The sequence below is a fragment of the Homo sapiens genome, chromosome 11, assembly GCF_000001405.40.
Source record: "Homo sapiens chromosome 11, GRCh38.p14 Primary Assembly".
NCBI classification, from domain to species: Eukaryota; Metazoa; Chordata; class Mammalia; order Primates; family Hominidae; genus Homo; species Homo sapiens.
The window spans coordinates 94,155,936-94,182,600 of NC_000011.10; the positions used below are offsets into that span (position 1 = coordinate 94,155,936).

At 41.4% G+C, this 26,665-nt stretch overlaps 1 protein-coding gene across 3 annotated transcripts in view; it reads left to right on the plus strand.

Moving 5' to 3' along the window:
• Positions 1-26,033, plus strand: part of PANX1 (pannexin 1) — a 53,128-nt gene extending 27,095 nt beyond the window's left edge. Inside the window, exons 2-6 of one of the 3 annotated variants that reach the window (XM_011542734.3) lie at positions 18,379-18,482; positions 19,812-19,953; positions 22,434-22,657; positions 23,667-24,322; positions 24,855-26,033. In XM_011542734.3, coding sequence (XP_011541036.1) covers positions 22,539-22,657; positions 23,667-24,322; positions 24,855-24,934 — 855 coding nt within the window. In that variant the 5' untranslated portion in view covers positions 18,379-18,482; positions 19,812-19,953; positions 22,434-22,538 and the 3' untranslated portion in view covers positions 24,935-26,033. The remainder of the gene's footprint in view (positions 1-18,378; positions 18,483-19,811; positions 19,954-22,433; positions 22,658-23,666; positions 24,323-24,854) is intronic. The other 2 variants (XM_047426702.1, NM_015368.4) reach the window with 2 other exon arrangements.

Genomic DNA, 26,665 nt, shown 5'->3' on the forward strand with positions numbered 1-26,665 from the left:
TTTAACAGCTTGCTTTGTAAATCCAAATTTTTACTGTTGTAGTTTAAGTTCGTTTGTTATAGTGTTCTCATGAAAATAGAGAGTTTTAATGAGTCACTGGGCTGCCTTTGATGGATCCGCAGGAGAATTGTCTAAGAGTTGGCAGGGGTGTTAGTAATTATTTTAGAGCAAGAATAAACTGAAAGATTTTTTATCCAGATGTATTTTACATTTAAGGGTAAGGGAACTTTGAGGGATCTAGCCTAAAGGTTATAGGACCAGTTACTGACCAACACATCAGAGCTCAGATCTTCAGACTTCTAGCCCATTGCTCTTCTAGTCAAGGAAGGGGAAATCTGGAAACAGTATAGGTAGCCAAACCTTAAGTTACCTGGTATTAATGAGAGATTAAGAAACCCTCTTTCTGGCAGTGGAAGACTGCTTGTTTGAATGGAGGTTTATCTAAGTTTCTCAGCAGAGCTCTTGCCAGATTCACAAGGCTGGGGACAGAAATTGAAGTCAGGACCTGCCACGTTGGAAGGACCCTTATTAACACTCCTTGGCATTTGGTTGGGACTCTGAAAGGCTGTTCCTTGAGAATAAGGGGCGATCCAGAATTAATCTAGCTCCCATAGGGACAAGAGTCCTGATTTAAATCATTGCAATAGCAGTTGAATGACAGAGATCGGGGATTACGAGTGTCTGGTCTACTTGCCTGCCAGAAGTAAAAATAAATCCTTTCTGGAGGATTTTCTGGGTGTGATTATCATTCATCTTTTTTTAAAAAAAATTATTTTTCTCGTTTTTTTTTTTCCTTTTTTTTAATTATACTTTAAGTTTTAGGGTACATGTGCACAACATGCAGGTTTGTTACATATGTATACTTGTGCCATGTTGGTGTGCTGCACCCATTAACTCGTCATTTAACATTAGGTATACCTCCTAATGCTATCCCTCCCCACTCCCCCCACCCAAAAACAAGCCCCAGTGTGTGATGTTCCCCTTCCTGTGTCCATGTGTTGTCGTTGTTCAATTCCCAACTATGAGCAAGAACATGCGGTGTTTGGTTTTTTTGTCCTTGCGATACTTTGCTGAGAATGATGGTTTCCAGCTTCATCCATGTCCCTACAAAGGACATGAACTCATCCTTTTTTATGGCTGCATAGTATTCCATGGTGTATATGTGCCACATTTTCTTAATCCAGTCTATCATTGTTGGACATTTGGGTTGGTTCCAAGTCTTTGCTATTGTGAATAGTGCCACAATAAACATACATGTACATGTGTCTTTATAGCAGCATGATTTATAATCCTTTGGGTATATACCTAGTAATGGGATGGCTGGGATGGCTGGGTCAAATGGTATTTCTAGTTCTAGATCCCTGAGGAATCGCCACACTGACTTCCACAATGGTTGAACTAGTTTACAGTCCCACCAACAGTGTAAAAGTGTTCCTATTCCTCCACCTCCTCTCCCGCACCTGTTGTTTCCTGACTTTTTAATGATCGCCATTCTAACTGGTGTGAGATGGTATCTCATTGTGGTTTTGATTTGCATTTCTCTGATGGCCATTGATGATGAGCATTTTTTCATGTGTCTGTTGGCTGCATAAATGTCTTCTTTTGAGAAGTGTCTGTTCATGTCCTTCGCCCACTTTTTGATGGGGTTGTTTGTTTTTTTCTTGTAAATTTGTTTGAGTTCATTTTAGATTCTGGATATTAGCCCTTTGTCAGATGAGTAGGTTGTGAAAATTTTCTCCCATTCTGTAGGTTGCCTGTTCACTCTGATGGTAGTTTCTTTTGCTGTGCAGAAAGAAGCTCTTTAGTTTACTTAGATCCCATTTGTCAATTTTGGCTTTTGTTGCCATTGCTTTTGGTGTTTTAGACATGAAGTCCTTGCCCATGCCTATGTCCTGAATGGTATTGCCTAGGTTTTCTTCTAGGGTTTTTATGGTTTTAGGTCTAAGATTTAAGTCTTTAATCCATCTTGAATTAATTTTTGTATAAGGTGTAAGGAAGGGGGATCCAGCTTCAGCTTTCTATGTATAGCTAGCCAGTTTTCCCAGTACCATTTATTAAATAGGGAATCCTTTCCCCATTTCTTGTTTTTGTCAGGTTTGTCAAATATCAGATGGTTGTAGATATGTGGCATTATTTCTGAGGGCTCTGTTCTGTTCCATTGATCTATATCTCTGTTTTGGTAGCAGTACCATGCTGTTTTGGTTACTGCTAGTAGCCTTGTAGTATAGTTTGAAGTCAGGTAGCATGATGCCTCCAGCTTAGTTCTTTTGGCTTAGGATTGACTTGGCGATGCAGGCTCTTTTTTGGTTCCATATGAACTTTAAAGTAGTTTTTTCCAATTCTGTGAAGAAAGTCATTGGTAGCTTGATGGGGATGGCATTGAATCTATAAATTACCTTGGGCAGTATGGCCATTTTCATGATATTGATTCTTCTTATCCAGGAGCATGGAACGTTCTTCCATTTGTTTGTGTCCTCTTTAATTTCATTGAGCAGTGGTTTGTAGTTCTCCTTGAAGAGGTCCTTCACATCCCTTGTAAGTTGGATTCCTAGGTATTTTATTCTCTTTGAAGCAATTGTGAATGGGAGTTCACTCATGATTTGGCTCTCTGTTTGTCTGTTATTGGTGTATAAGAATGCTTGTGATTTTTGCACATTGATTTTGTATCCTGAGACTTTGCTGAAGTTGCTTATAAGCTTAAGGAGATTTTGGGCTGAGACAATGGGGTTTTCTAAATATACAATCATGTCATCTGCAAACAGGGACAATTTGACTTCCTCTTTTCCTGATTGAATGCCCTTTATTTCCCTCTCCTGCCTGATTGCCCTGGCCAGAACTTCCAACACTATGTTGAATAGGAGTGGTGAGAGAGGGCATCCCTGTCTTGTGCCAGTTTTCAAAGGGAATGCTTCCAGTTTTTGCCCATTCAGTATGATATCAGCTGTGGGTTTGTCATAGATAGCTCTTATTATTTTGAGATACGTGCCATCAATACGTAATTTATTGAGAGTTTCTAGCATGAAGGGTTGTTGAATTTTGTCAAAGGCCTTTTCTGCATCTGTTGAGATAATCATACGGTTTTTGTCATTGGTTCTGTTTATATGCTGGATTACATTTATTGATTTGCGTATGTTGAACCAGCCTTGCATCCCAGGGTTGAAGCCCACTTGATCATGGTGGATAAGCTTTTTGATGTGCTGCTGGATTCGGTTTGCCAGTATTTTATTGAGGATTTTTGCGTCGATGTTCATCAGGGATATTGGTCTAAAGTTCTTTTTTTTTGTTGTTGTGTCTCTGCCAGGCTTTGGTATCAGGATGATGCTGGCCTCATAAAATGAGTTAGGGAGGATTCCCTCTTTTTCTATTGATTGGAATAGTTTCAGAAGGAATGGTAACAGCTCCTCCTTGTACCTCTGGTAGAATTCGGCTGTGAATCCATCTGGTCCTGGACTTTTTTTGGTTGGTAAGCTATTAATTTTTGCCTCAATTTCAGAGCCTGTTATTGGTCTATTCAGAGATTCAACTTCTTCCTGGTTTTAGTCTTGGGAGGGTGTATGTGTCGAGGAATTTATCCATTTCTTCGAGGTGTTTATAGTATTCTCAGATGGTAGTTTGTATTTCTGTGGGATCAGTGGTGATATCCCCTTTATCATTTTTTATTGCGTCTATTTGATTCTTCTCTCTTTTCTTTATTAGTCTTGCTAGCGGTCTATCAATTTTGTTGATCTTTTCAGAAAACCAGCTCCTGGATTTATTGGTTGTTTGAAGGGTTTTTTTGTGTCTCTATTTCCTTCAGTTCTGCCCTGATGTTAGTTATTTCTTGCCTTCTGCTTGCTTTTGAATGTGTTTGCTCTTGCTTCTCTAGTTCTTTTAATTGTGATGTTAGCGTGTCAATTTTAGATCTTTCCTGCTTTCTCTTGTGGGCATTTAGTGCTCTAAATTTCCCTCTATACACTGCTTTGAATGTGTCCCAGAGATTCTGGTATGTTGTGTCTTTGTTCTCGTTGGTTTCAAAGAACATCTTTATTTCTGTCTTCATTTCGTTATGTACCCAGTAGTCATTCAGGAGCAGGTTGTTCAGTTTCCATGTAGTTGAGCAGTTTTGAGTCAGTTTCTTAATCCTGAATTCTAGTTTGATTGCAGTGTGGTCTGAGAGACAGTTTGTTATAATTTCTGTTCTTTTATATTTGCTGAGGAGTGCTTTACTTCAACTATGTGGTCAATTTTGGAATAAGTGCAGTGTGGTGCTGAGAAGAATGTATATTCTGTTGATTTGGGGTGGACAGTTCTGTAGATGTCTATTAAGTCTGCTTGATGCAGAGCTGAGTTCAATTCCTGGATATCCTTGTTAACTTTCTGTCTCGTTGCTCTGTCTAATGTTGACAGTGAGGTGTTAAAGTCTCCCATTATTATTGTGGGAGTCTAAGTCTCTTTGTAGGTCTCTAAGGACTGGCTTTATGAATCTGGGGGCTCCTGTATTGGGTGCATATATATTTAGGATAGTTAGCTCTTCTTGTTGAATTGATCCCTTTCACATTATGTAATGGCCTTCTTTGTCTCTTTTGATCTTTGTTGGTTTAAAGTCTCTTTTATCAGAGACTAGGATTGCAACCCCTGCCTTTTTTTGTTTTCCATTTGCTTGCTAGATCTTCCTCCACCCCTTTATTTTGAGCCTATGTTTGTCTCTGCATGTGAGATGGTTTTCCTGAATACAGCACACTGATGGGTCTTGAGTCTTTATCCAATTTGCCAGTCTGTGTCTTTTAATTGGAGCATTTAGCCCATTTACATTTAAAATTAATATTGTTATGTGTGAATGTGATCCTGTCATTATGATGTTAGCTGGTTATTTTGCCGTTAGTTGATGCAATTTCTTCCTAGCCTCGATGGTCTTTAGAATTTGGCATTTTTTTGCATTGGCTGGTACCATTTGTTCCTTTCCATGTTTAGTGCTTCCTTCAGGAGCTCTTTTAGGGCAGGCCTGGTGGTGACAAAATCTCTCAGCATTTGCTTTGCTGTAAAGGATTTTATTTCTCCTTCGCTTATGAAGCTTAGTTTGGCTGGATATGAAATTCTGGGTTGAAAATTCTTTTCTTTAAGAATGTTGAATATTGGCCCCCACTCTCTTCTGGCTTGTAGAGTTTCTGCCGAGAAATCAGCTGTTAGTCTGATGGGCTTCCCTTGGTGGGTAACCCCACCTTTCTCTCTGGCTGCCCTTAACATTTTTTCCTTCATTTCAACTTTGGTGAATCTGACAATTATGTGTCTTGGAGTTGCTCTTCTCGAGGAGTATCTTTGTGGCGTTCTCTGTATTTCCTGAATCTGAATGTTGGCCTGACTTGCTAGATTGGGGAAGTTCTCCTGGATAATATCCTGCAGAGTGTTTTCCTACTTGGTTCCATTCTCCCTGTCACTTTCAGGTACACCAATCAGACGCAGATTTGGTCTTCTCACATAGTCCCATATTTCTTGGAGGCTTTGTTTCTTTTTACTCTTTTTTCTCTAAACTTCTCTTCTCACTTCATTTCATTCATTTGATCTTCCATCACTGATACCTTTTCTTCCAGTTGATCAAATCGGCTACTGAGGCTTGTGCATTTGTCAGGTAGTTCTCGTGCCGTGGTTTTCAGCTCCATCAGGTCCTTTAAGGACTTCTCTGCATTGGTTATTCTAGTTAGCCATTTGTCTAATTTTTTTTCAAGGTTTTTAACTTCTTTGCCATTGGTTCGAACTTCCTCCTTTAGCTCGGAGTAGTTTGATCGTCTGATGCCTTCTTCTCTCAATTCGTCAAAGTCATTCTCCGTCCAGATTTCTTCTGTTGCTGGTGAGGAGCTGCATTCCTTTGGAGGAGGAGAGGTGCTCTGATTTTTAGTTTCCAGTATTTCTGCTCTGTTTTTTCCCCATCTTTGTGGTTTTATCTACCTTTGGTCTTTGATGATGGTGATGTACAGATGGAATTTTGGTGTGGATGTCCTTTCTCTTTGTTAGTTTTCCTTCTAACAGTCAGCACCCTCAGCTGCAGGTGTGTTGGAGTTTGCCAGAGGTCCACTCCAGACCCTGTTTGCCTGGGTATCAGCATCGGAGGCTGCAGAACAGCAGATACTGGTGAGCAGCAAATGTTGCTGCCTGATCGTTCCTCTGGAAGTTTTGTCTCAGAGGAGTACCTGGTTGTGTGAGGTGTCAGTCTGCCCCTACTGGGGGGTGCCTCCCAGTTAGGCTGCTCGGGGGTCAGGGACCCACTTGAGGAGGCAGTCTGTCCATTCTCAGACCTCCAGCTGCGTACTGGGAGAACCACTACTCTCTTCAAAGCTGTCAGACAGGGACATTTAAGTCTGCAGAGGTTTCTGCTGCCTTTTGTTTTGCTATTCCCTGTCCCCAGAGGTGGAGTCTACAGAGGCAGGCAGGCCTCCTTGAGCTGTGGTGGGCTCCACCCATTTCGAGTTTCCTGGCCACTTTGTTTACCTACTCAAGCCTCAGCAATGGTGGACGCCCCTCCCCCAGCCTCGCTGCCACCTTGCAGTTTGATCTCGACTGCTGTGCTAGCAATGAGCGAGGCTCCGTGGGCGTAGGACCCTCCGAGCCAGGCGCTGGATATAATCTTCTGGTGTGCCATTTGCTAATACCGTTGGATAAGCGCAGTATTAGGGTGGGAGTGACCTGATTTTCCAGGTGCCATCTTTCACCCCTTTCTTTGACTAGGAAAGGGAATTTCCTGACCCCTTGCGCTTCCCGGGTGAGGTGATGCCTCGCCCTGCTTCGGCTCACGCTGGGTGCGCGGCACCCACTGTCCTGCCCCCACTTTCTGACACTCCCCAGTGAGATGAATCCGGTTCCTCAGTTGGAAATGCAGAAATTACCTGTCTTCTGCGTCGCTCACACTGGGAGCTCTAGACTGGAGCTGTTCCTATTCGGCCATCTTGGCTCCACCAACCTCTCTTTTTTTTTTTTTTTTTTGAGACAGGGTCTCACTTTGTCACCCAGGCCTGAGTGTAGTGGCACAAACATGGCTCACTGCAGCCTCAATCTCCTGGGTGTAAGGCAGTCCTCCTGCCACAGCCCACCAAGTAGCTGGGACTACAGGCATGCACCACTGCATGTGGCTAATTTTTGTTATTTTTTGTAGAAATGGTCTCAAACTCCCGAGTTCAAGAGATCCACTTATCTTGGCCTTCCAGAGTGTTGGGATTACAGGCGTGAGCCACCACACCTGGCTTATTTTTCTTACTTTTTATTTTAATTTTTAAGTTTTATGGTTACATAATATTTGTACATATTTGTGGACTACATGTGATATTTTGATATAAGCATAGAATGTATAATGAGCAAATCAGGGAATGAAAGTGTTAGAAGTGGGCATCCTTGTTCCATATCTTAGAGGAAAGGCTTTCAGTTTTTCCCCATTCTTTGTGACACTAGCTGTGGGTTTGTTGTAAGTCTTCTTTATTATATTGAGGTATGTTCCTTCTGTACTCAGTTTGTTCAGGGTTTTTATCATGAAGGGATGTTGACTGTTACTGAATGCTTTTTTGGCATCTATGGAAATGATCATATGCTTTTTGTCCTTCATTCTGTTGATGTGATGTATCAAATTTATTGATTTGCATATGTTGAACTATCCTTGCATCCCTAAGATAAATCCCACTTGGTTGTGATGAATGATCTTTTTAATGTGTTATTGAATCAGTTTGCTAGGATTTTATTGAGGATTTTTATATCTGTGTTCATCGGAGGTATTGGCTTATAATTTTACTTGTCTTTGTCTGATTTTGGTGTCATGGTTAAGACTGGCTTTATAAAATTATTCCCTCCTCTAAGGATGGTTTGGAATTATTCCCTCCTCAGTTTTTTTGAATACTTTAAGTAGGGTTGGTGTTAGTTCTTTTTTAAAAGTTTGGTAGAATTTAGCAGTGAAGCCATCAGGTCCTGGGCTTTTCTTTGATGGGAGACTTATTATTACTGCCTCTCCCTTGTTACTTGCTATTGGTCTATTCAGGTTTTGTATTTCTTCATGGTCCAATCTTGGTAGGTTGTATGTGTCTAGAAATTTATCAATTTTTTTTAGGTTTTGCAATTTATTGGCATATCGTTGCTCATAATAGTCTTTAGTGATCCTTTGAATTTCTGTGGTATGAATGATAATGTCTCCTTTTTTGTCTCTAATTTTATTTATTTGGTCTTTCTTTTTTTTTTAGTCTGGCTAAAGGTTTGTTGATTTTGTCTTTTCAAAAAACCAACTTTTAAATTTTATTGATGTTTTGTATTTTTTTGGTTTCAATTTTATTTCTGCTCTTTAATAGTCTACTGAATTTGTGTTTGATTTGCTCTTGCTTTTCTAGTTCTTTAAGATCTGTCATTAAGCTGTTTATTTGAAGTCTTTCTACTTTTTTGATGTAGGTATTTATTGCTTTAAACATCCCTGTTAGTACTGCTTTTGCTATATCCAGTAGGTTTTGGTATGTTGTGTTCTCATTTTCATTTGTTTCAAGAAATTTTTAAACTTTATTCTTAATCTCTTCATTGACCCAGTGGTCATTCAGGAGCATATTAATTTCCATGTGTTTAGTTTCCAAAGTTTCTCTTGTCATTGATTTCTGACCTTGTGGTCAGAAAAGATACTTTTATGATTTCAATTATTTTGAATTTTTCGAGACTTGTTTTGTGGCCTAACATGTGGTCTATCTGTGAGAATGTTCCATTTGCTAAAGAGCAGAATGTTCTGCAGCTATTGCATGAAATGTTCTGTAAATGTCTGTTAGGTATATTTGGCCTACAGTGTAGCTTGAGCCTGATATTTCTTTATTTTTTGTCTAGATGATCTGCTCAATACTGAAAGTCGGGCGTGAAGTTCCCGACTATTATTATATTGGGCTTTATCCCTCTTTAGCTCTAATAATATTTTCTTTATATATCTGAGTGCTCCAGCATTGGGTGCTTATATATTTACAATTGTTACACCCTCTTAGTGAATTGATCCCGTTATCATTATATAATGACTTACTTTTTATCTTTTTACAGTTTCTGTATTGAGATTTATTTTATCTGATACATGTATAGCTATTCCCGCTCTTTTTTGGTTTCTGTTTGCATGGAATATATTTTTCAGCCCTTCATTTTCAGCCTATATGTGTCTTATAGGTGAAGTGAGTTTCTGGTCAGCAGCGTTTGGTTGGGTCTTGGTTTTTTATCCAGTGAGCCATTCTTTCTCTTGATTGAAGAATTTAGTTCATTTACATTCAATGTGATTATTGATAGGTAAGGACTTACTACTGCAATTTTGTTATTTGTTTTCTGGTTGTTTTGTTAGTTTCTCTTTTTTTCCTTTTTCTCTGTCTTCCTTTGTGTATAAATGATTTTTTTGGTAGTATGTTTTAATTTCTTGCTTTTTATTTTTATTTATTTTTTTTAATTTTTTAATTTTATTATTATTATACTTTAAGTTTTAGGGTACATGTGCACAACGTGCAGGTTTGTTACTAATGAGCAAAATAACCAGCTAACATCATAATGACAGGATCAAATTCACACATAACAATATTAACTTTAAATGTAAATGGGCTAAATGCTCCAATTAAAAATTCTCAGCTTTTTATTTTTTGTGTATCTATTATAGGCTTTTACTTTGTTTGCCATGAGGCTGCACATGAGGCTGTGATTGGAATTAAGTTATCTTCCGTTTAAAATAATTGGTTATGTGGCCGGGCACAGTGGCTCATGCCTGTAATCCCAGCATTTTGGGAGGCCAAGGCAGGCAGATCACATGAGGTCAGGAATTCAAGACCAGCCTGCCCAACATGGAGAAACCCTGTCCCTTCTACACATACAAAATTAGCCAGGCATGGTGGTGCATGCCTGTAATCCCAGCTACTCGGGAGGCTGAGGCAGAAGAATCACTTGAACTTACCAAGAGGCAGAGGTTGCAGTGAGCTGAGATCGCACCATTGCACTCCAGCCTGGGCAACAAGAGTGAAACTCTGTTTCAAGTAATATAATAGTAATAACTATTATTATTATTATTGGTTATGTTATTAACCAATTATTTTAAACTGAAGATAACTTAATTCCAATTACAATGAAAATAAAAAAACAAGCCAAAAGAAAACTAAAAAGTTCTGGACTTTAACTTCATCCCCCCCTCGCTTTCGACTTCTTGTCACTTTATATCTTTTTATATTGTGTATCTCCTAACAACTTGTAATTATGATTATTTTTGATACGTTTACCTTAGGGTCTTCATTTTAAGGTATGAGTGGTTTACATACCACAATTACAGTGTTAGAGTATTCTGTATTTGTCTGTGTACTTACTTTTACCAGTGAGTCTGTATTTTTAGATGATTTCTTGTTGCTCCTTACCATCCTTTTCTTTCAGACTGAAGAACTCCTTTTACCATGTCTCGTAAGACAGTTCTAGTGTTGATGAAATACCTCAGCTTTTGTTTGTCTGGGAAAGTCTTTATTTCACCTTTATGTTTGAAGGATAACTTTGCTGGTGATGATATTCTAGGTTGGAAGCTTTTTTCCTTTAGTGCTTTGAATATGTCATCCCACTCCCTCCTGGACTGTAAGGTTTCCACTGAAAAGTCTGCTGCCAGATATCTTGGAACTCTTTTATATGTAATTTGCATCTTTTCACCTGGTGTTTTTGGGATCCTTTCTTTGTCCTTCACCTTTGAAAGTTGGATTATTGTATTCCTTGAGGTAGTCTTGCTTGGGTTGAGTCTTCTTTGTGTCCTTTAACCTTCTCATACCTGCATATTATATCAGGCATCTATCTGGTGCTTTATTTTATTGTGACTGAGCCTGATATCTAAGTTGCAAGACAGTATCCTCTGTACTCTTTCCTCTCCTTTGCCCAAGTTGAAAGATCTCTCCCCAAGCTGCACTGCTTGGAGTTGGGAGAGAGGTGATGCAGGTGTTCCCATGGCTGGTACAGTTAATGTCGTACTGGGTCACATCCCAAGCCCACTGCTTCTAAGACCAGTGCAGCACCAGGGCTTGTCCAAGGCCTACAGTTACTATGTCCTGATTGGCACTCAGATTTATTTGGGGCCCTAAGTCACTTTAGTCAGTTGGTGGTGAAGCCAGCAGGAGTCACTTTTCTCCCACTGGGGCAGAAGATTCCCCTCTGGCCCAGGGCTGGTCTAAATGCTTCTTTTGTGGGACCTGGCAGAAGTCTGCCTGGTGTTGTGTGAGGCTTTGACAAGGCAGCACTGAGTTCCAGTGCAAAGTCGCATACTCATTTTGCTCTCCCTCCTTCAAGCACACGGATTCTTCTCCAGACTGCACTGCCTGGGTTTAGGGGAGGGGTGGTGTAAGCAGTGCAAGACCGTACTTCCTACTCTCTTCAATGCCACTTTCGTTGTTATGTTAAAACCAGGTACAGTGATTGCTCCTCTGATTTTTTAGTTCTTAGGAGGGTGCTTTCTTGCATGGATACTTTATATCTTTTTATATTGTCTATCTCCTAATGGGGGTCAATCATTGGAGGGTTCAATTCAGCCATTTTGCTCTGCCTCCTCTTATGTACTGTCAAATTCTTGCTCAGGTTTTTCACATATGATATTCAGCACTCACTAGGAAATAACTAGATGTACAAGAAAACCAAGAGAAAAATCAGAAATAGAAACAAACCTGTTGGAGATCCAGATAGTGGATTGATCAACCATGCATTTTAACTAATCATTAATCATATATTCAAAGAATTATGATTATATGGAGATTTTTTACGTAGAACTGACTGAAAACTGCACCAAAATAATCAAATAGAAATTCTTGAGCTGAAAACATTTAGTCACAGTTGATTTCAGCTAACGTTGATTGAGGGCCTACCATATGCTGGAATGTATGTGCAGTGGCAGAAAGCCACAGATGACATGGTCCCTTCATCAAGGAGCTTGTTGTTTAGTGGAAAAAATAAACATGGAAGAAGGCAGTGAGAGGGAATAATCAGCTAAATGGTAAAAGGAGAGTGTTTCAGACAGTAGTGAACTCTGTTAAATGCTGCTGCAGAGAAGCCAGTGCAGTCTGGGAGAAATACAACTTACTGGATTTAATGAAAATATTGGGGATCCAGCAGGAATGATTTTAGTGGAGAAGTGGGAGGCAGATGGCTGTGGTGAAGAGTGAATGGGAGGTAAGGAAATGAAGATGATTAGACAATTTCTTCACAATTTTTTTTCCCTTTTCATAAACTCTCTCTTCCTGATAACCAGAAGAGAGAGGAACAAGCTGGGTGACAACTGGAAGGAAAATACAGGCCCAAAAGCACAAAAAAAGCACTGTCTGGGAGGGTGGGAAGCACTTTCTGGGGGAGGCGTGGCCTGTTGGGGGCATTGGGGCCTTGATTAACTATGATGCAGGGTAGGCTAGGTTACAGGGGACTTTGAAAACTAACCAGATGGATGGGCTAAATGCTGGGGACAGCGGGAGCCATTGCAGGTACCTGAGCAGGGTGAACTTGGCGGTTCCAAGAGTTAAGCCTCAGTAATGGTGTACAGGAGAGAATAGAGGCAGGGAGAGCCACTTGGTAAGCACAGAGTGAGGGTTCTAATTAGGGAACAGAAAGGAAAAGAAGCAGTTTTGTCCAAGAAGGCAAAGAGCAAACAAAAAGCAATACTCTTATGTCTTATTGCTGATTAGAAGATCACGCAAAAGGATAGTCGAAAGTGACATCAAGGGCCTAGACCAGGGTCAGCAAACTTCTGCAGAGGGCCAGATCATAAAGTTTTTTTGTCATTGCAGATCACATGGTCACTGTCGCAGCTACTTAGTTCTGCAGAGTAGACATGATTGCTTGTGGCCAGATTTGGCTCAGGGGCAGCAGTTTGCTGATCCTTGGTCTAGAGTGACAGCAGTTGAGATCTAGGGTGACAGCAGTGGAGGTGGGAAGTGCATCTTTTCTAAGACTCAGGGCATCTTTTCTAAGATACGGAAGTAACAAGATGTGCTGATTGGACATGGGAAGATGAGAGAAAGATCAGGATTAAGGACATGACCAAGGTTTCAGGCACCGGATGGAATGACACCTTCATGACACTTGAAGAAGCCTGGTGAAGAAGCAGATTTTGGAGGAAAATCAAAGAGTTCTGCTTGAACATGTTGAATCAGGTGCTGTGGTCCAGATGATGTGTCAGGTGGGCAGTGAGATATGGTATCTGGAGATTGCAGGCTAGAATAGAGCTATAGATATGGCAGATTGTCAGAAAATAGATAGTGTTTAAAGCTATAGGAGTGGATGGTGTTTCTTAGGGGGTGATTATATGTAGACAGGGGCAAGGTCTGAGGGCTGCTCCAACATGGAGAGAGGGTGGGGTAGGACCAGTCAACAGAGGAGACACAGAGAGGTGGGGTGATGAGGAAAGTTAAACAGTGTGCTGTATGCTTGAAAGGCAGGGTATCTTGTAAAGAAAGATGGTGTCAATGTGATAACCTGTGTCAGATGCTGCCAAGAGTGCGAGTAAGGTGAGGACTGAGACTTAGGCTAACTCTACATTTGGGTGGTATCATGGGCTGAATTGTGTCCCCCAAAAGATATGTCGAAGTTTTAACCCAGTGTGCCCTAAACTGTGACACCTTATTTGGAAATATAATTATAGCAGATGTAATTAGTTAAGATGGGGTCTTACTGCAGTAGGGTGGGCCTTTAACTCAGTATGACTGCTATCCTCATAAGAAGAGGGGAATTTGGACACAGACATGCTCAGAGGGAAGACAACATGAAGACACTCAGGGAGAAAACAGCCGCATGCCCACAGGGGGCTGGATTGGAGTTATGCAGCCAAGCCAAGGAATGCTGGGGCGACTGGAAGCTGGAAGACGCTGGGAGGATCCTGCCATGGAGACTCGGGAGGGAGCATGGCCCTGCTAGCACCTTGATTTTGAACTCCTCACCTCTAAAACCATGAAAGAAAAAATTTCTGTGGTTTTAAGCCATCAAATTTGTGGGATTTGGTTGGTAATGCCAGGAGTTAGAGAGAAATGAAGATTCAGCCTAATTGGAGAAATAAAACCTATACCAGATAGGAATATTAGTGCATGGCTTTCTTAGGCCAGATTCAGTAATCGCAGCTGCTTTATTTCTACGTTGATCTCTTTTTCAAGTTTTTCTTTTTCTTTTTTGATAAAATATACATAACATAAAATTTACCTTTCTCTTTGTAGGTATATAGCCCAGTGGCATTAAGTACATTTACATTGTTGCGAAACCATCGCCATTACCCATCTCCTGAATTTTTCATCTTCCCAAACTGAGACCTGCATCCATTAAGCAGTAATTTTCCATTTCCCCATCCCCCCAGCCCCTGGCAACCTCCATTCTGTTTTCTGTCTCTCTGCATTTGTCTATTCTAGATACCTCATATAAGTGAAACCATACAATATTTGTCCTTTTGTGTCTGGCTTATCTCACTGAAGAAAATGTTTTCACAGTTCATTAATGTGGTGACATACATCAGAATCTCCTTCCTTTTTAAGACTGAATAACATCCCATTGTAAATTTGTACGAGATTTTGTTTATCCGTTCATCAGCGCATACTTGGGTTGCTTGCCCTTATTGGCTATTGTGAATATTGCTGCTGTGAACATCTGTTCGAGTCCTCACTTTGTTTCTTTTGGATACATACCCCAAAGTGGAATTGCTGGATTCTCTTTCAAAGATGAAAAGGTTTTCTTGTGGCTTCTCCACACTGAGCAGACTCGGGACTGTTAAGCTGTTAGGGTCCTCTCATTCAGGCTCCGAGGGCCAGAGTGATCAGTGCCTTTTCTGAGGTCGCACAGCCAGATGGCAGGTGAGCCCACATCCTTCTTCAGATTTCAGACATGTTTCCCATGTGAGAAGGTCCAGTTCTAACTTCTGTGGCTTGAGAATTCTGGACTGTAGCCTGTAGGTGATGGTCACCTGCTGATGAGCTGCAGTTCAACACAAGGAGAGTCTTTCTGGCACAATTGCTGTCCAGCAGGGGAGCCCACTGTTGACCCAGGAGTTCCTTAGTTCAGCGTGCTCATGGACTTGCGTAATTTCTTCCCATGCCTGTATTTCTTACCTTGCTACTGTTTCTTCATAGAAAACTCAGTTCCTTAGCTGTTCTGGATACTGGCTATGCCTTCCCCATGCCCTCCTCATTGCTGTCATTCTCCCAGTCACCCCTCATTCATTCAGGACTCAGTCATGCTCATCCTCCTTCACCACCCCAAGGTGACTTCTGTGTCCTCCTGGATGGCACATCTAGCCTCAGTCTCTGTCTCATCTGCAAGAACTTTTACCTCCTTTCCATTTCCATCTCCATCATGAGTTCCTGTGGCCACCTCATTCTGAACTTGCTGTCACTTGAAACTAACTTCAGGCATCCCACTCCCTGTCTCTGCCTCCTGCCCTCCAAGGCCTTCCCCAAGCACTTTCAAATAAAATGGAAGCTTGACATGAAAATATCTTGCCATAATTCTGCTTTATTAATTCTTTATCTCTTAAGACTGTAAGCTTTATGCAGGCAGAGACCATGACCATGTCTTGTTTATCCATGTACCCCTGAGACAATGCGTAGTCCATAGTGGGTGCTTGAAGACTATATGCGGAAGGGAAGAGGGCAGTGAGGTAGTTGTGTGTCCTGTTCAGAACCAGACTTGGTTCTCCAGGAGCATCCTGACAAAGGATGGGGGATTAGAGGCACAGGGTTTATTCAGCACTTCTCAATTTAATTCTGATGCTGAAGTTAGGAGAGCTCAGTTACCCCAAAGAAGTTATTCAGTGTAATATTTAAGTCAGCACTGGTATGACACTGGTATGATCAATGGTGTCATTTTTCTCCAACCGACTTTGATTTCTCCCTGTCTTCCTCCTCCCTTTCTCTCCCACTCCATGCACTACTGATGACCTCTAAGGACACACTGTGAGGCCTTTGCTGGAGATGTGGGTACAGTCTCGGGGGGTGGGGGGCACCCAGTAGGTGGCGCTCTAACACTGCTTGAGAACTGGCTTTTTTTTTTCCTTTGAGTGTTCTGTTCCCTTTGTTCAAGTTTAGAATGCGGGAGGCAACTATTAGTAAGATTTCTCTCTGAAACAGGAAAGTCCGTTTTTGACTGAAAAAAACAATAAGAAAAACAAGAACAAAATTAGGAGAGTGGGCAAATCTTTATTTCTCTTAAGTAGACTCATAGAAACTTGGTTGGAGGAATCCTCTGAGGCTTTCAGACCAGAGGCTTCCAAACCTTAGCATTGCCAGAGTGGCCTTGTGAAAATTCAGGCTCCCGAGGCCATCTAGGCCATTAGGTTGGAGCTTCTGTGGTTAAGGTCAGGAATGTGGTTTTTATCGGCTTCCCAGGAGATTCTGATGTGAGCCCATCTTGCCGTACAATGTGGGCACCACCCATCTACACCATTTCTCAAATTCTCTGTGCATGCAGATCACCTGGGGATTTTGTTGAACTTTAGGCTCTGATTCAGCAGGTCTGATAGGGACCTGCAATTCTGCATTTATAACAGACTGCCAGGTGATAACTGAGGTTTGTGGTCTATGGACCACACCACTCTTTGAGAAGCAAGAATCCAGAGCCAGGGTTGGCAGACTAGGACACACATGCTTGAGCCAAATCAGTCCATACCTGTTTTTGTAAATAAAATTTTATTGGAACACAACTGTGCCCCATTTGTTCACACATTATCTGTGGCTGCTTTTGCACTATAATGGCAGAGTTGAGCAGCTGCAACAGAGACCATGTAGCTCTCAAACCTGTAATATTTACTCTCTGGCCCTTTACAAGAAAACCCTATGGACCCTTAATCTGGAATACTCAAGCTCTCCCAGATGATCACAAACTGTATTGAAAGGGAGCTCCTTGCCTCATAGGACAATTCATTGCATTTCATAGATCCGTGGGAAGGCTGCTCCTTGTCACTTGGTTCTACTTATCTTGGTAGGCATCTTTTCCTCCTTCTGTGAACAGATACTTTGCTCGCTGTCTTCTCCAGGGCTCTCCCCATGATGGGTTCCCTCCAGCTGCACTCCAGAATGTCACCCAGTGCAAACCACAGCACCTTTGGTGCTGAATAGAAGCCATGCCATCTGTATTTTCTGCCTTCTGTAAGCTTCTCAGGGAGTGCACATTAGCTTTCTGGGGTAGCTGTTCACTCTTGACTCCCGCTGTCTAGGATTGTCTGTAAGTGCGGTATTACCTGAACAGCATATAGCCAGAACAGACATCCTTCATGCATCTTTTTACTCCACTTCCCCAGTGCAGGATGTTCTTGGTTTACCTACTTCCTACTTTCTGACTGCTTTTCTCCATTTCTTCCAAGATTCTCTTTTTGCCTGACCCTTAAATGTTATAGGGTCTCAGGCCTGTTCGTGGTCTTCTGGTCTTCTCCTTCTGCCCATTCTCCTTGGATGATCTTAACCATACAGTTGGCTTTGACCACATATGTGCTGCCAAATCCTGAATTGTACAGCTAGATTCTTTTCCTTTATTTTCAGTTATCTACTACAGACCAGGGCGTTTTGACTGCAGGTATCTCATGTTCAAAATTTCTCATCTTCTCAGGTCTGCCTCCCACCTCACTCCCGTCTGCTCTGAATCTGGGACTCTTCATTTATTTCACCTGAAGGTTCCACCCCGTCATGCCCTTGCATGAGCTACACACCCGGCGTGATCCTCAGTTCTTCTCCTTTTCCGTCCCCCTCTTCTGTGTGGACACTGAAGTGTATGTCTCCCCCATCTGTTGCTCTCAGATCTGTCTTCTCTTCCTGCCTCTCTGCCACAGTGACCTCCTGCCTGGTCTCTCTCCTTCCCATGTGTTTCTTCTTTGCCTCTGTAGTGGTTTTCTGGAATATATTTGATTTTGCCCTCTACCAGTGGTACCCCATTGTGTATGGTGTGGGAATTTGTGGCCCTCTTAATTCAGTCTCTGCTTACACTTTTTGTGAGTTTCCTAGATCTGCTATAACAAATTACAACAGAAATGTATTTCCTCCTAGTTTTGGAGGCCAGAAGTCCACAATCAAGGTGTTGCCAGAATTGGCTCCTTTTGGTGCTTTCAGGGAGAGTCTGTGATGTGCTTTCTTCTAGTTCCTGGTGGCTGCTGGCAGTCCTCTGTGTTCCTAGGGTGGTAGATGCATCACTCCAGTCTCTACCTCTGTCATCACAGGCTTCTTCCTGTGTGTCTCTGTGTCTTCATTTGGCCTTCTGATAAGGACACAAGTCATTGGATTAGGACCCACCCTAATTTATCATGACCTTATCTTAATTTAACTAATTATATTTGCAAAGACCTATTTCCAAACAGTATCACACTCTGAGGTTCCAGGTGGTCATTAGTTAGGGTTGGGGGGCAGTATTCAAGCCAGCACACCCTTCCAGCCTCTGCTCTGTCTACTTCCTCACTCACAGGCTTGTTCATTTACCTTGGTGCTCTGGATGAGTGAGAATTCAACAGACAAACACGGAGGAAAGGATTCCAAGCAGAGGAAAGAGGATTCCAAAGGGCCACAGAGGTGACATTTGTGCTGAGTCTTAACATAAGGCTTTGTTTTATTTTATTGCCGCACTGTACTTTAAGACATAGTTCAGGTGTTACCTCTTTTATGAAGCTTCCCTGACCACCTCCCCAGGGACTTTTCTGTTCCCTCAGTGCTTAGTACCTACATGTTTTGATGATTTAATTATCAGCTTGTGTTCCCATCTGTCCTGTGTAATCTTGGGGCAGACTCTGTGCCTAGTCTGTGGGGGCCGTGCATCCAGCCCACTGCCTAGCACATAGCAGGTCCCCAGGAGATGTTTTTGAGTGAATTTACCCATCTGCACTTAATCCCCTAAGATGAGGTCACATGCATTTTAGGGGAGGAGTTGTTCAGTCCGAATTGGATGGTTCTTTGCCTTCGATGAGGTAGAGAGGATTTGAATATGGAGGGAAGTTGTACTGCTCACCCTCTAGGTTCCTTCCATCTGGAGGTTTCTGTTGTTTTAACTATAACCCATTCCAGAAACAGCACACATTTTTAAGGCAGATAGACTGAAAATTGTAGTTGGACAGCTGCTTGGTCCCACAATGATTTGAGAAGTTTCCCTATTCTTGGAAGAGCTCAATACTCACTCGAACATCATGCAGAATAGTGCCATCATGGCTTCAAGAGATGCTGAGCATCCCAGGCCTAATGTGGAGTTGACACAGCTTATGAACAAAGCTGTTTCCATCTGCAGATGCACCCTCAAAGCCCTGCAGCTTTTCCATATTTCTTATTTGAAATTAAAGACTGTAATTTTGTGTTATTTTGGATTCTTATTTCCTGTTTTACTACATTTTTATAGAATCACTGAAAGTTGCCTTTTTATTTTGGTGGGAAAAAAATAAAAAGAGGTTTTAGTGTGGAGAAAACCAAGAGATGTGGCATTAAATGATGTTATTATAGTGGTGATCAAGGTACAAGGCTATTTTAGGGAAATTTACACCCTATATGTAATTTGTTTTTCTAATTACAATGAGCTGTGCTGAACTATTCATTGTACCACTTATTGTACCAAATTATTGTACCACTTGGGCATGTTTAAAAATACCACAGACTGTAAATAGTCACTTTTTAATTCAAGGGAACAGTTCGAAGTGAAATGCCATTATTCAAATAGCTTTGAAACAAAAGTGACTTATACAGATGTTTCACAAGCCCATGTTAGAAAAAGTTTTCTCCCTGTGGTTCCCAGATAGAATGCCTGGCTTTCGTGGTTATGGAAGCAGCAGAAACTCTGTGTCATGCACTTATGTTTTTAAACTAATGGGCACCCTTCTGATTGGGCAAGAATTAAATGAACATTCCTTCTCCCCACAGCCAGCTATGAATTATGCAGCCAAAATTCAGCTAATCACAGCCTGCTTTGTGTGTCATTGTGTAGCAGCCCTTTGCAAATTGGGTTAATACTTTTGAAACACCTCATCCCGTGCCAGAATGCCAAAGTAAAGCAGCTGTCTTGGTAAGAGGGCTTTGCAAAGTTTTGGGGTCATTTGTGCTTATTTCTGTCTTGCGTCTGGGGCAGAGATTCCTTATGTGGGTCTGTGATAGTGACAGGAGGCCTGCAAACTAGGATAGGAAAATATATGACAGCTTTATTTTTTATTCACTTCCAAATAAAATTTAGCATTAAGAAAGTTTTTATGTAGGCAACAATCCATAGTGATATTAGCAGTACCTGTGAGTTTGTCACCCACAGAAAATCACAGATATCCTGGAATATCGTTTACTCTTCACTACTTCAAAGTTTCAATAGCTGTTAGATCATCTGCTAGATCCTAATTTAAGTATGAATAAAGAATTGGATGCAAAATATTAATATTTTGGTAACTGTATATCAGTGCTCTATTTCCTTTGTGAACCTATATATATATTATTTTATGCATTTAAAAACAAGGAAAGATTGAAGAACTGTCACAAAACCAAGGAGTCTAGGGAGACATGGCAACTAAATGCAGTGAGTACCCTGGATTGGATCTTGGAACAGGAAGAGGACAGTAGGGGAAAAACTACTACTGTACTTTACAAATAAAAGTCTGAAGTTTAGTTTCTGATAATGTGCCGATGTTGGCTTCTTAGTCTTAACAAATATATCACAGAAATATGAGTCATTAGCAATGGGGGAAACTGAGTGAGGGGCTTATGGGAATGCTCTGTACATCTGAAATTACAGTGAGGGCCATGTTGTGGGGGCTGCCGTCCACTCCCAGAAATGTTTTGAGGGGAGGGTTTCATGTCAACTTACGGCCATCATGGCCTCGTCCATTACAACTCTGAGAAATGGTGGAGATAGACCCATCCAAAAGTAAGGAGAAGTTTTCCAGAGGAGTAAAGTAATTGAGAGTGTGTTAGATTGGAAAAAGATGTCTCTGGGGTCAGAGAGGTTGGCAACATAGTCTGACTCTCACTTACCAGCTTTGTGATCTGGGGCCAGAAACTGCTCCCGGCTTTCTCTTCCCATTTGCAGAATGGAGCCATCTATAGAGTCCCTGCCAGGGTTGCTGTGAGGACTGAACATAACGTGTCCACCTAGCTAATCTTTTTGTGGTTACCTGGAGTGTTTGAGTGCCTGTTCTATGCCAGGCCCTTTGCTAAGCATTTTCCATCAATTATCTCCTTTAATCTTCATGACACCTCTATTCCATGACCATTTCATACATAAGGAAACTGAGGGTCAGAGACTTTGAAAACTAACCAGATGGATGGGCTAAATGCTGGGGACAGCGGGAGCCATTGCAGGTACCTGAGCAGGGTGAACTTGGCGGTTCCAAGAGTTAAGCCTCAGTAATGGTGTACAGGAGAGAATAGAGGCAGGGAGAGCCACTTGGTAAGCACAGAGTGAGGGTTCTAATTAGGGAACAGAAAGGAAAAGAAGCAGTTTTGTCCAAGAAGGCAAAGAGCAAACAAAAAGCAATACTCTTATGTCTTATTGCTGATTAGAAGATCACGCAAAAGGATAGTCGAAAGTGACATCAAGGGCCTAGACCAGGGTCAGCAAACTTCTGCAGAGGGCCAGATCATAAAGTTTTTTTGTCATTGCAGATCACATGGTCACTGTCGCAGCTACTTAGTTCTGCAGAGTAGACATGATTGCCCAAGGCCGCAATGCTGAGCTTCAATTCAGATCTGCACTGACTGCAATTTACGGTCTTCCTAAGTCTTCTGCTGAGGCTAAGCCACCTCTGACCAACTGGTGGTCCTGGTTACTGGGGTGCTCCTCACCCTCTCTGACGTGTGAATCCCCTCTTGTTTGGTGTGTGTCTGCACCCTGATGTGGATGCTCTCCTCTTGATTCCCTTGCCCGTTGTGGATGGCCTCTCTGAGCCCAAGTTTATCCAACTATACGATGAGGGTGTTGGACTGCCTTCAAAGTCTGTTCCACATTCATTCTGCATTCTGTGAATTCAACTGCTTATTTCAGCTGTCTTATTGGGATGATTACTGAATCACTGAAGTCGAAGCTTTTCTAATTTGTTTTGGGGGAAGTTACATGTTTCTTTGGCATTTTCCCAGATTCCAGAGTAGGGCAAAAATGGAGCCGTATGCCTTAGTTGCTTCTTAAAACCATAAAAGTTAACAAAAACCCAGCAGAAGCCTTCGTGATAGCTGCAGGTTTCTTAACTGGGATTTTGTTCAGGGAACGGGAGTAATTTTATTTTTTTATTTTCCTTCTGTGATTAGAACGTACACACCATGTGTCACCATGCAGTTGCTGATTACTTCAAATTAATACCTATGGAAGAAAAAAAAATAGGTAGTTACCTGTGACAGGTATTACCTGGACAGGGGAATTTAGCCATAAGAAGTAGTTATTAGGTAATGAGCCCAATTTCCACAATACACATTTGTCTCAAGATGTGAGAAAATGAGAGCATCACTTGGCGCCATAGGTTACTGCATGGGGGGTTTGTTAAGCCCATGATTTGTTCTCTTGTTTTTCAGTTTTTCCCCTACATCCTGCTGCTCTTTGCGATCCTCCTGTACCTGCCCCCGCTGTTCTGGCGTTTCGCAGCTGCTCCTCATATTTGCTCAGACTTGAAGTTTATCATGGAAGAACTTGACAAAGTTTACAACCGTGCAATTAAGGCTGCAAAGAGTGCGCGTGACCTTGACATGAGAGATGGAGCCTGCTCAGTTCCAGGTGTTACCGAGAACTTAGGGCAAAGGTAACTTAGCCCCAGCAGGCAGCTCATCGGGTTTTGTAGGACAAATTCTCTGCCCTTCTACTGCCAGTCTGGGCCCAGAGTTCTCATTGCTAGGAGGCGGGGCAGGAGTGGAAGCAGGGGGACGTCATGCACCTAGTGACAGCCTGTAGTATCCCGGGATGTCCACTCTCCCCAAATCTCACCGCGACCCATCCTACCCATTTGTTTATCCTTCTGTCAAGACTCATTCCCTTGATGAGTGAAACATTACATCTCATTTTAAAAATGCAGTTCTTGTAGGGGTAACAGATTGAGGTGCTATATGAAGCTTGCTTGCTTTGATCTATTTAACTCCTTAATGGAGACGCACAGAGGATTTCAAGGCAGCTGAGCAAGGGATGAGAGAGAAATGGGGAATGAGTAGGTCGTGGCTTGCCTTTTCACAACCTTCTTTTGGTTCTTGTTATTGAATAATTGGAATAATAATAAGAGCCATCATTTTTTGAATATTTAATATATCTCACACACCGTATTGAGTTATTTAAGTACATTATCTCCTTTAACCCTCAGAGCAACATTACTAGTGCATTTGTTAACCTCCTCCTCCACTTTTATTCTGGATAAAAATACTCTTCTGTAGCTGTAAGTGAGAGTCTGGGAACTGAACCATGCCCTTTAGACCCCATAGTTTTTGCCCATACCCCCTGAGTTGTCCCACCCCTTGCCTGTAAGAGGCGTATGCTTACACATATTTAGGATTTACCAGATGCCAGGCATCACTCTAAAAATTTCCAAATATTAACTCATTTAATTAACTAGGCCTTCTGTTAAATATTAAGGGGAAAAGCATTTTATTATTCCTTTTCTTCCTCCTCTTTTAAACGGATTTTATTTTTGACTACTGACGTTGTAGGTAAAGAAGTATGGGTGTTTGAAATTTTTAGTGTGACATTGTTGAATGTGTATCTGCCTTTAATATTTGATGGTCTTGATGAGTGCCTAAGTTATTTTTGTTTCCTTTATTTTTTAGTTTGTGGGAGGTATCTGAAAGCCACTTCAAGTACCCAATTGTGGAGCAGTACTTGAAGACAAAGAAAAATTCTAATAATTTAATCATCAAGTACATTAGCTGCCGCCTGCTGACACTCATCATTATACTGTTAGCGTGTATCTACCTGGGCTATTACTTCAGCCTCTCCTCACTCTCAGACGAGTTTGTGTGCAGCATCAAATCAGGGATCCTGAGAAACGACAGCACCGTGCCCGATCAGTTTCAGTGCAAACTCATTGCCGTGGGCATCTTCCAGTTGCTCAGTGTCATTAACCTTGTGGTTTATGTCCTGCTGGCTCCCGTGGTTGTCTACACGCTGTTTGTTCCATTCCGACAGAAGACAGATGTTCTCAAAGTGTACGAAATCCTCCCCACTTTTGATGTTCTGCATTTCAAATCTGAAGGGTACAACGATTTGAGCCTCTACAATCTCTTCTTGGAGGAAAATATAAGTGAGGTCAAGTCATACAAGTGTCTTAAGGTACTGGAGAATATTAAGAGCAGTGGTCAGGGGATCGACCCAATGCTACTCCTGACAAACCTTGGCATGATCAAGATGGATGTTGTTGATGGCAAAACTCCCATGTCTGCAGAGATGAGAGAGGAGCAGGGGAACCAGACGGCAGAGCTCCAAGGTAGGGTTTGCTTTTGGCAGAGGCTACGGGAGTCTACCGAGAGCCTTTGCAGCAGCCTTGTGGGAATATTGACAGTCTTTACCCTGCCCATCATTTAAACCATTTCCAAGCATTAAAAACCTTAATACCAAGGTGCGGGGTAGGGGGAGTGGGAACCCCTCAGTATAAGGAGAGAGAGGAAAAGAATTGGTGCTGCTCTACATTTCCAAAGAAGAATAACTTCTGTGCTTTTTCTGGTTTTTCCCTCTTCTCTGTCTGTCTCACACTCTCTCTTGCTCAGCAATCTTCCTTGTCTTTCTTGCTTATTTTTGTCTTATCTTACTGGCTTTCCTTTCTACCTCTGATCTCCTTCTCTGTTACTCTCTGACTTTCTCTTTCAAAGGGGACTAAAAGTTTATTGATTCTTTTAGTTAGGCCAAGAAGCAAAACATGGTATAGACTGTGAGAGGAATTTTTGGCAGAAGAAAAATTGATTAGTATTGGTAATTCCTGCTATGTTTCTGTCATAAATATTTGTTTTCAATTTTGACAGGTATGAACATAGACAGTGAAACTAAAGCAAATAATGGAGAGAAGAATGCCCGACAGAGACTTCTGGATTCTTCTTGCTGATGATTTTTTTCCTTGAGCTGTAAATCTGTGACTTCTGCGACATGGGATTTAATTTGGCTAAAGCACCCCTGTTGGTTTCACAGCTGGTTTGCAATAAATGGTTCTTGGTGGAGATACTGAGCATGTCTTATTGAGTCCCTAATGGAAATGGTGATCAACAAAAGGTTATGGAAGAATGGTTTATGAACTTCCCATAGGAAGCACCTGAGAGATAGTAAACTGCAGCAAGTAACTATGTGTAAGTCCTCATCAAATGAAAAGCAGAAAGACAAGAACAATTAGTCAAGAGCAGTAGCCCTGTCAGAGCCTCGGAGCAATACCTTTCTGTACCCGTGGTGAGACAAGACCCAGAGCTACTGGAAAACAAGCACTTTGGAAGATTTGTTTTGTTTTCATGGAATAATAATATGTCAGGGTATAATTTAACGTGAGTTTCTTATGTGCCCTTAAAGACTGTTAGACAAGAAAAGCATTCACTGGCTAATAATCCATAGGTCGACCTATGTCCTAAGTTAGGTGTAAGGTCCGATGCCTTGGCCCACACTCGAGCTCTCTTTACATTGTTAGTTGTCAACCTTGGCTGATGGAAATCCCGTAACCACTATTTGTTGCACTGTGCCTTGAAGGGCAGCAGGCCCAAGTGCTGCTCTGACTGAAAACTGAGTTAACAAGATGAAATCTAAAGGATATTCACAGTGACTTCAATTCAGGAAGAATGCTTCCAAAAGAGCCCAGTGGGGAAATCTGACATCACAGAAGACATTAATTCAGTCACTTTCAAAGAGTTTGTCTACAGGCGGTTTCTCTGTTATCAAAGGCATTTGAAATAGGATTTTACTTAAACAATAATGGAACACAGGAGTATTTAAAGTGAAGAACACTTTGCCTGAATGTGATCAGGGCACATAAGTGACATTGGCATGCTTCATATGGCGTGCTTGGAGCCAGAAAAACTTAGCGGTTTATTTTGTTTATATTTAAGCACAGCTTTAAAAAATTCATTATCGTTTATTCAGTGTCCGAATTGAGGCCATTTGGGAAGAAAATTCTAGCACTGGTGGAGAATTATAGAATAAAGATTATAAATGGTTGGATAAGACAAATGTAAGCTTATTTCATAAACATTTAAAGCTGATTCAGAACATGTTAAAAACTGTTCCCAATTCCAACTATGTAAATAGATCCTATGTTCACATTTTACACACACACACAAAAATCTTTAACATCTGTGGAACTTCCCAGTTTTAGTCTTAGAAAGTTAGCATGTTGCATAAGTTCAGTAATCCTCAGGAACCTCCAAGTTTACTTTTAGCTCTTACGGACAGTTGTTTACATAATCTAATTACTGTTTTCTGAAGAACGGAAATTATATAAGCTGCTGTCTGCCTTTTGGAATATTCAGAAAAGCAGATTTTATTTGTACTTCTGTGATGTTTTCTGAAATGGAAAGCTGATGATAAATATCAAAGTAGCAATCAGTGCGTTAAATTATTCTGTTACATGATATTTATTACTGTTGAATTATTCTGTGACTTAGAAATGGCAGTAACCTAAATAATGGAATTTGCAAAATTATTATATTGCCGTATCTGAGATGTTCCATCACAAGTTTCTACACTGGTTTCTTTTGAAAATTTAAAAAGATTTACGAGATACATTTTCTAGGATATGATTTTTTTTTTACAAAAAGCTTCATCTTCTGTAGACTATCCTTAATTTCTATTTTGAAAC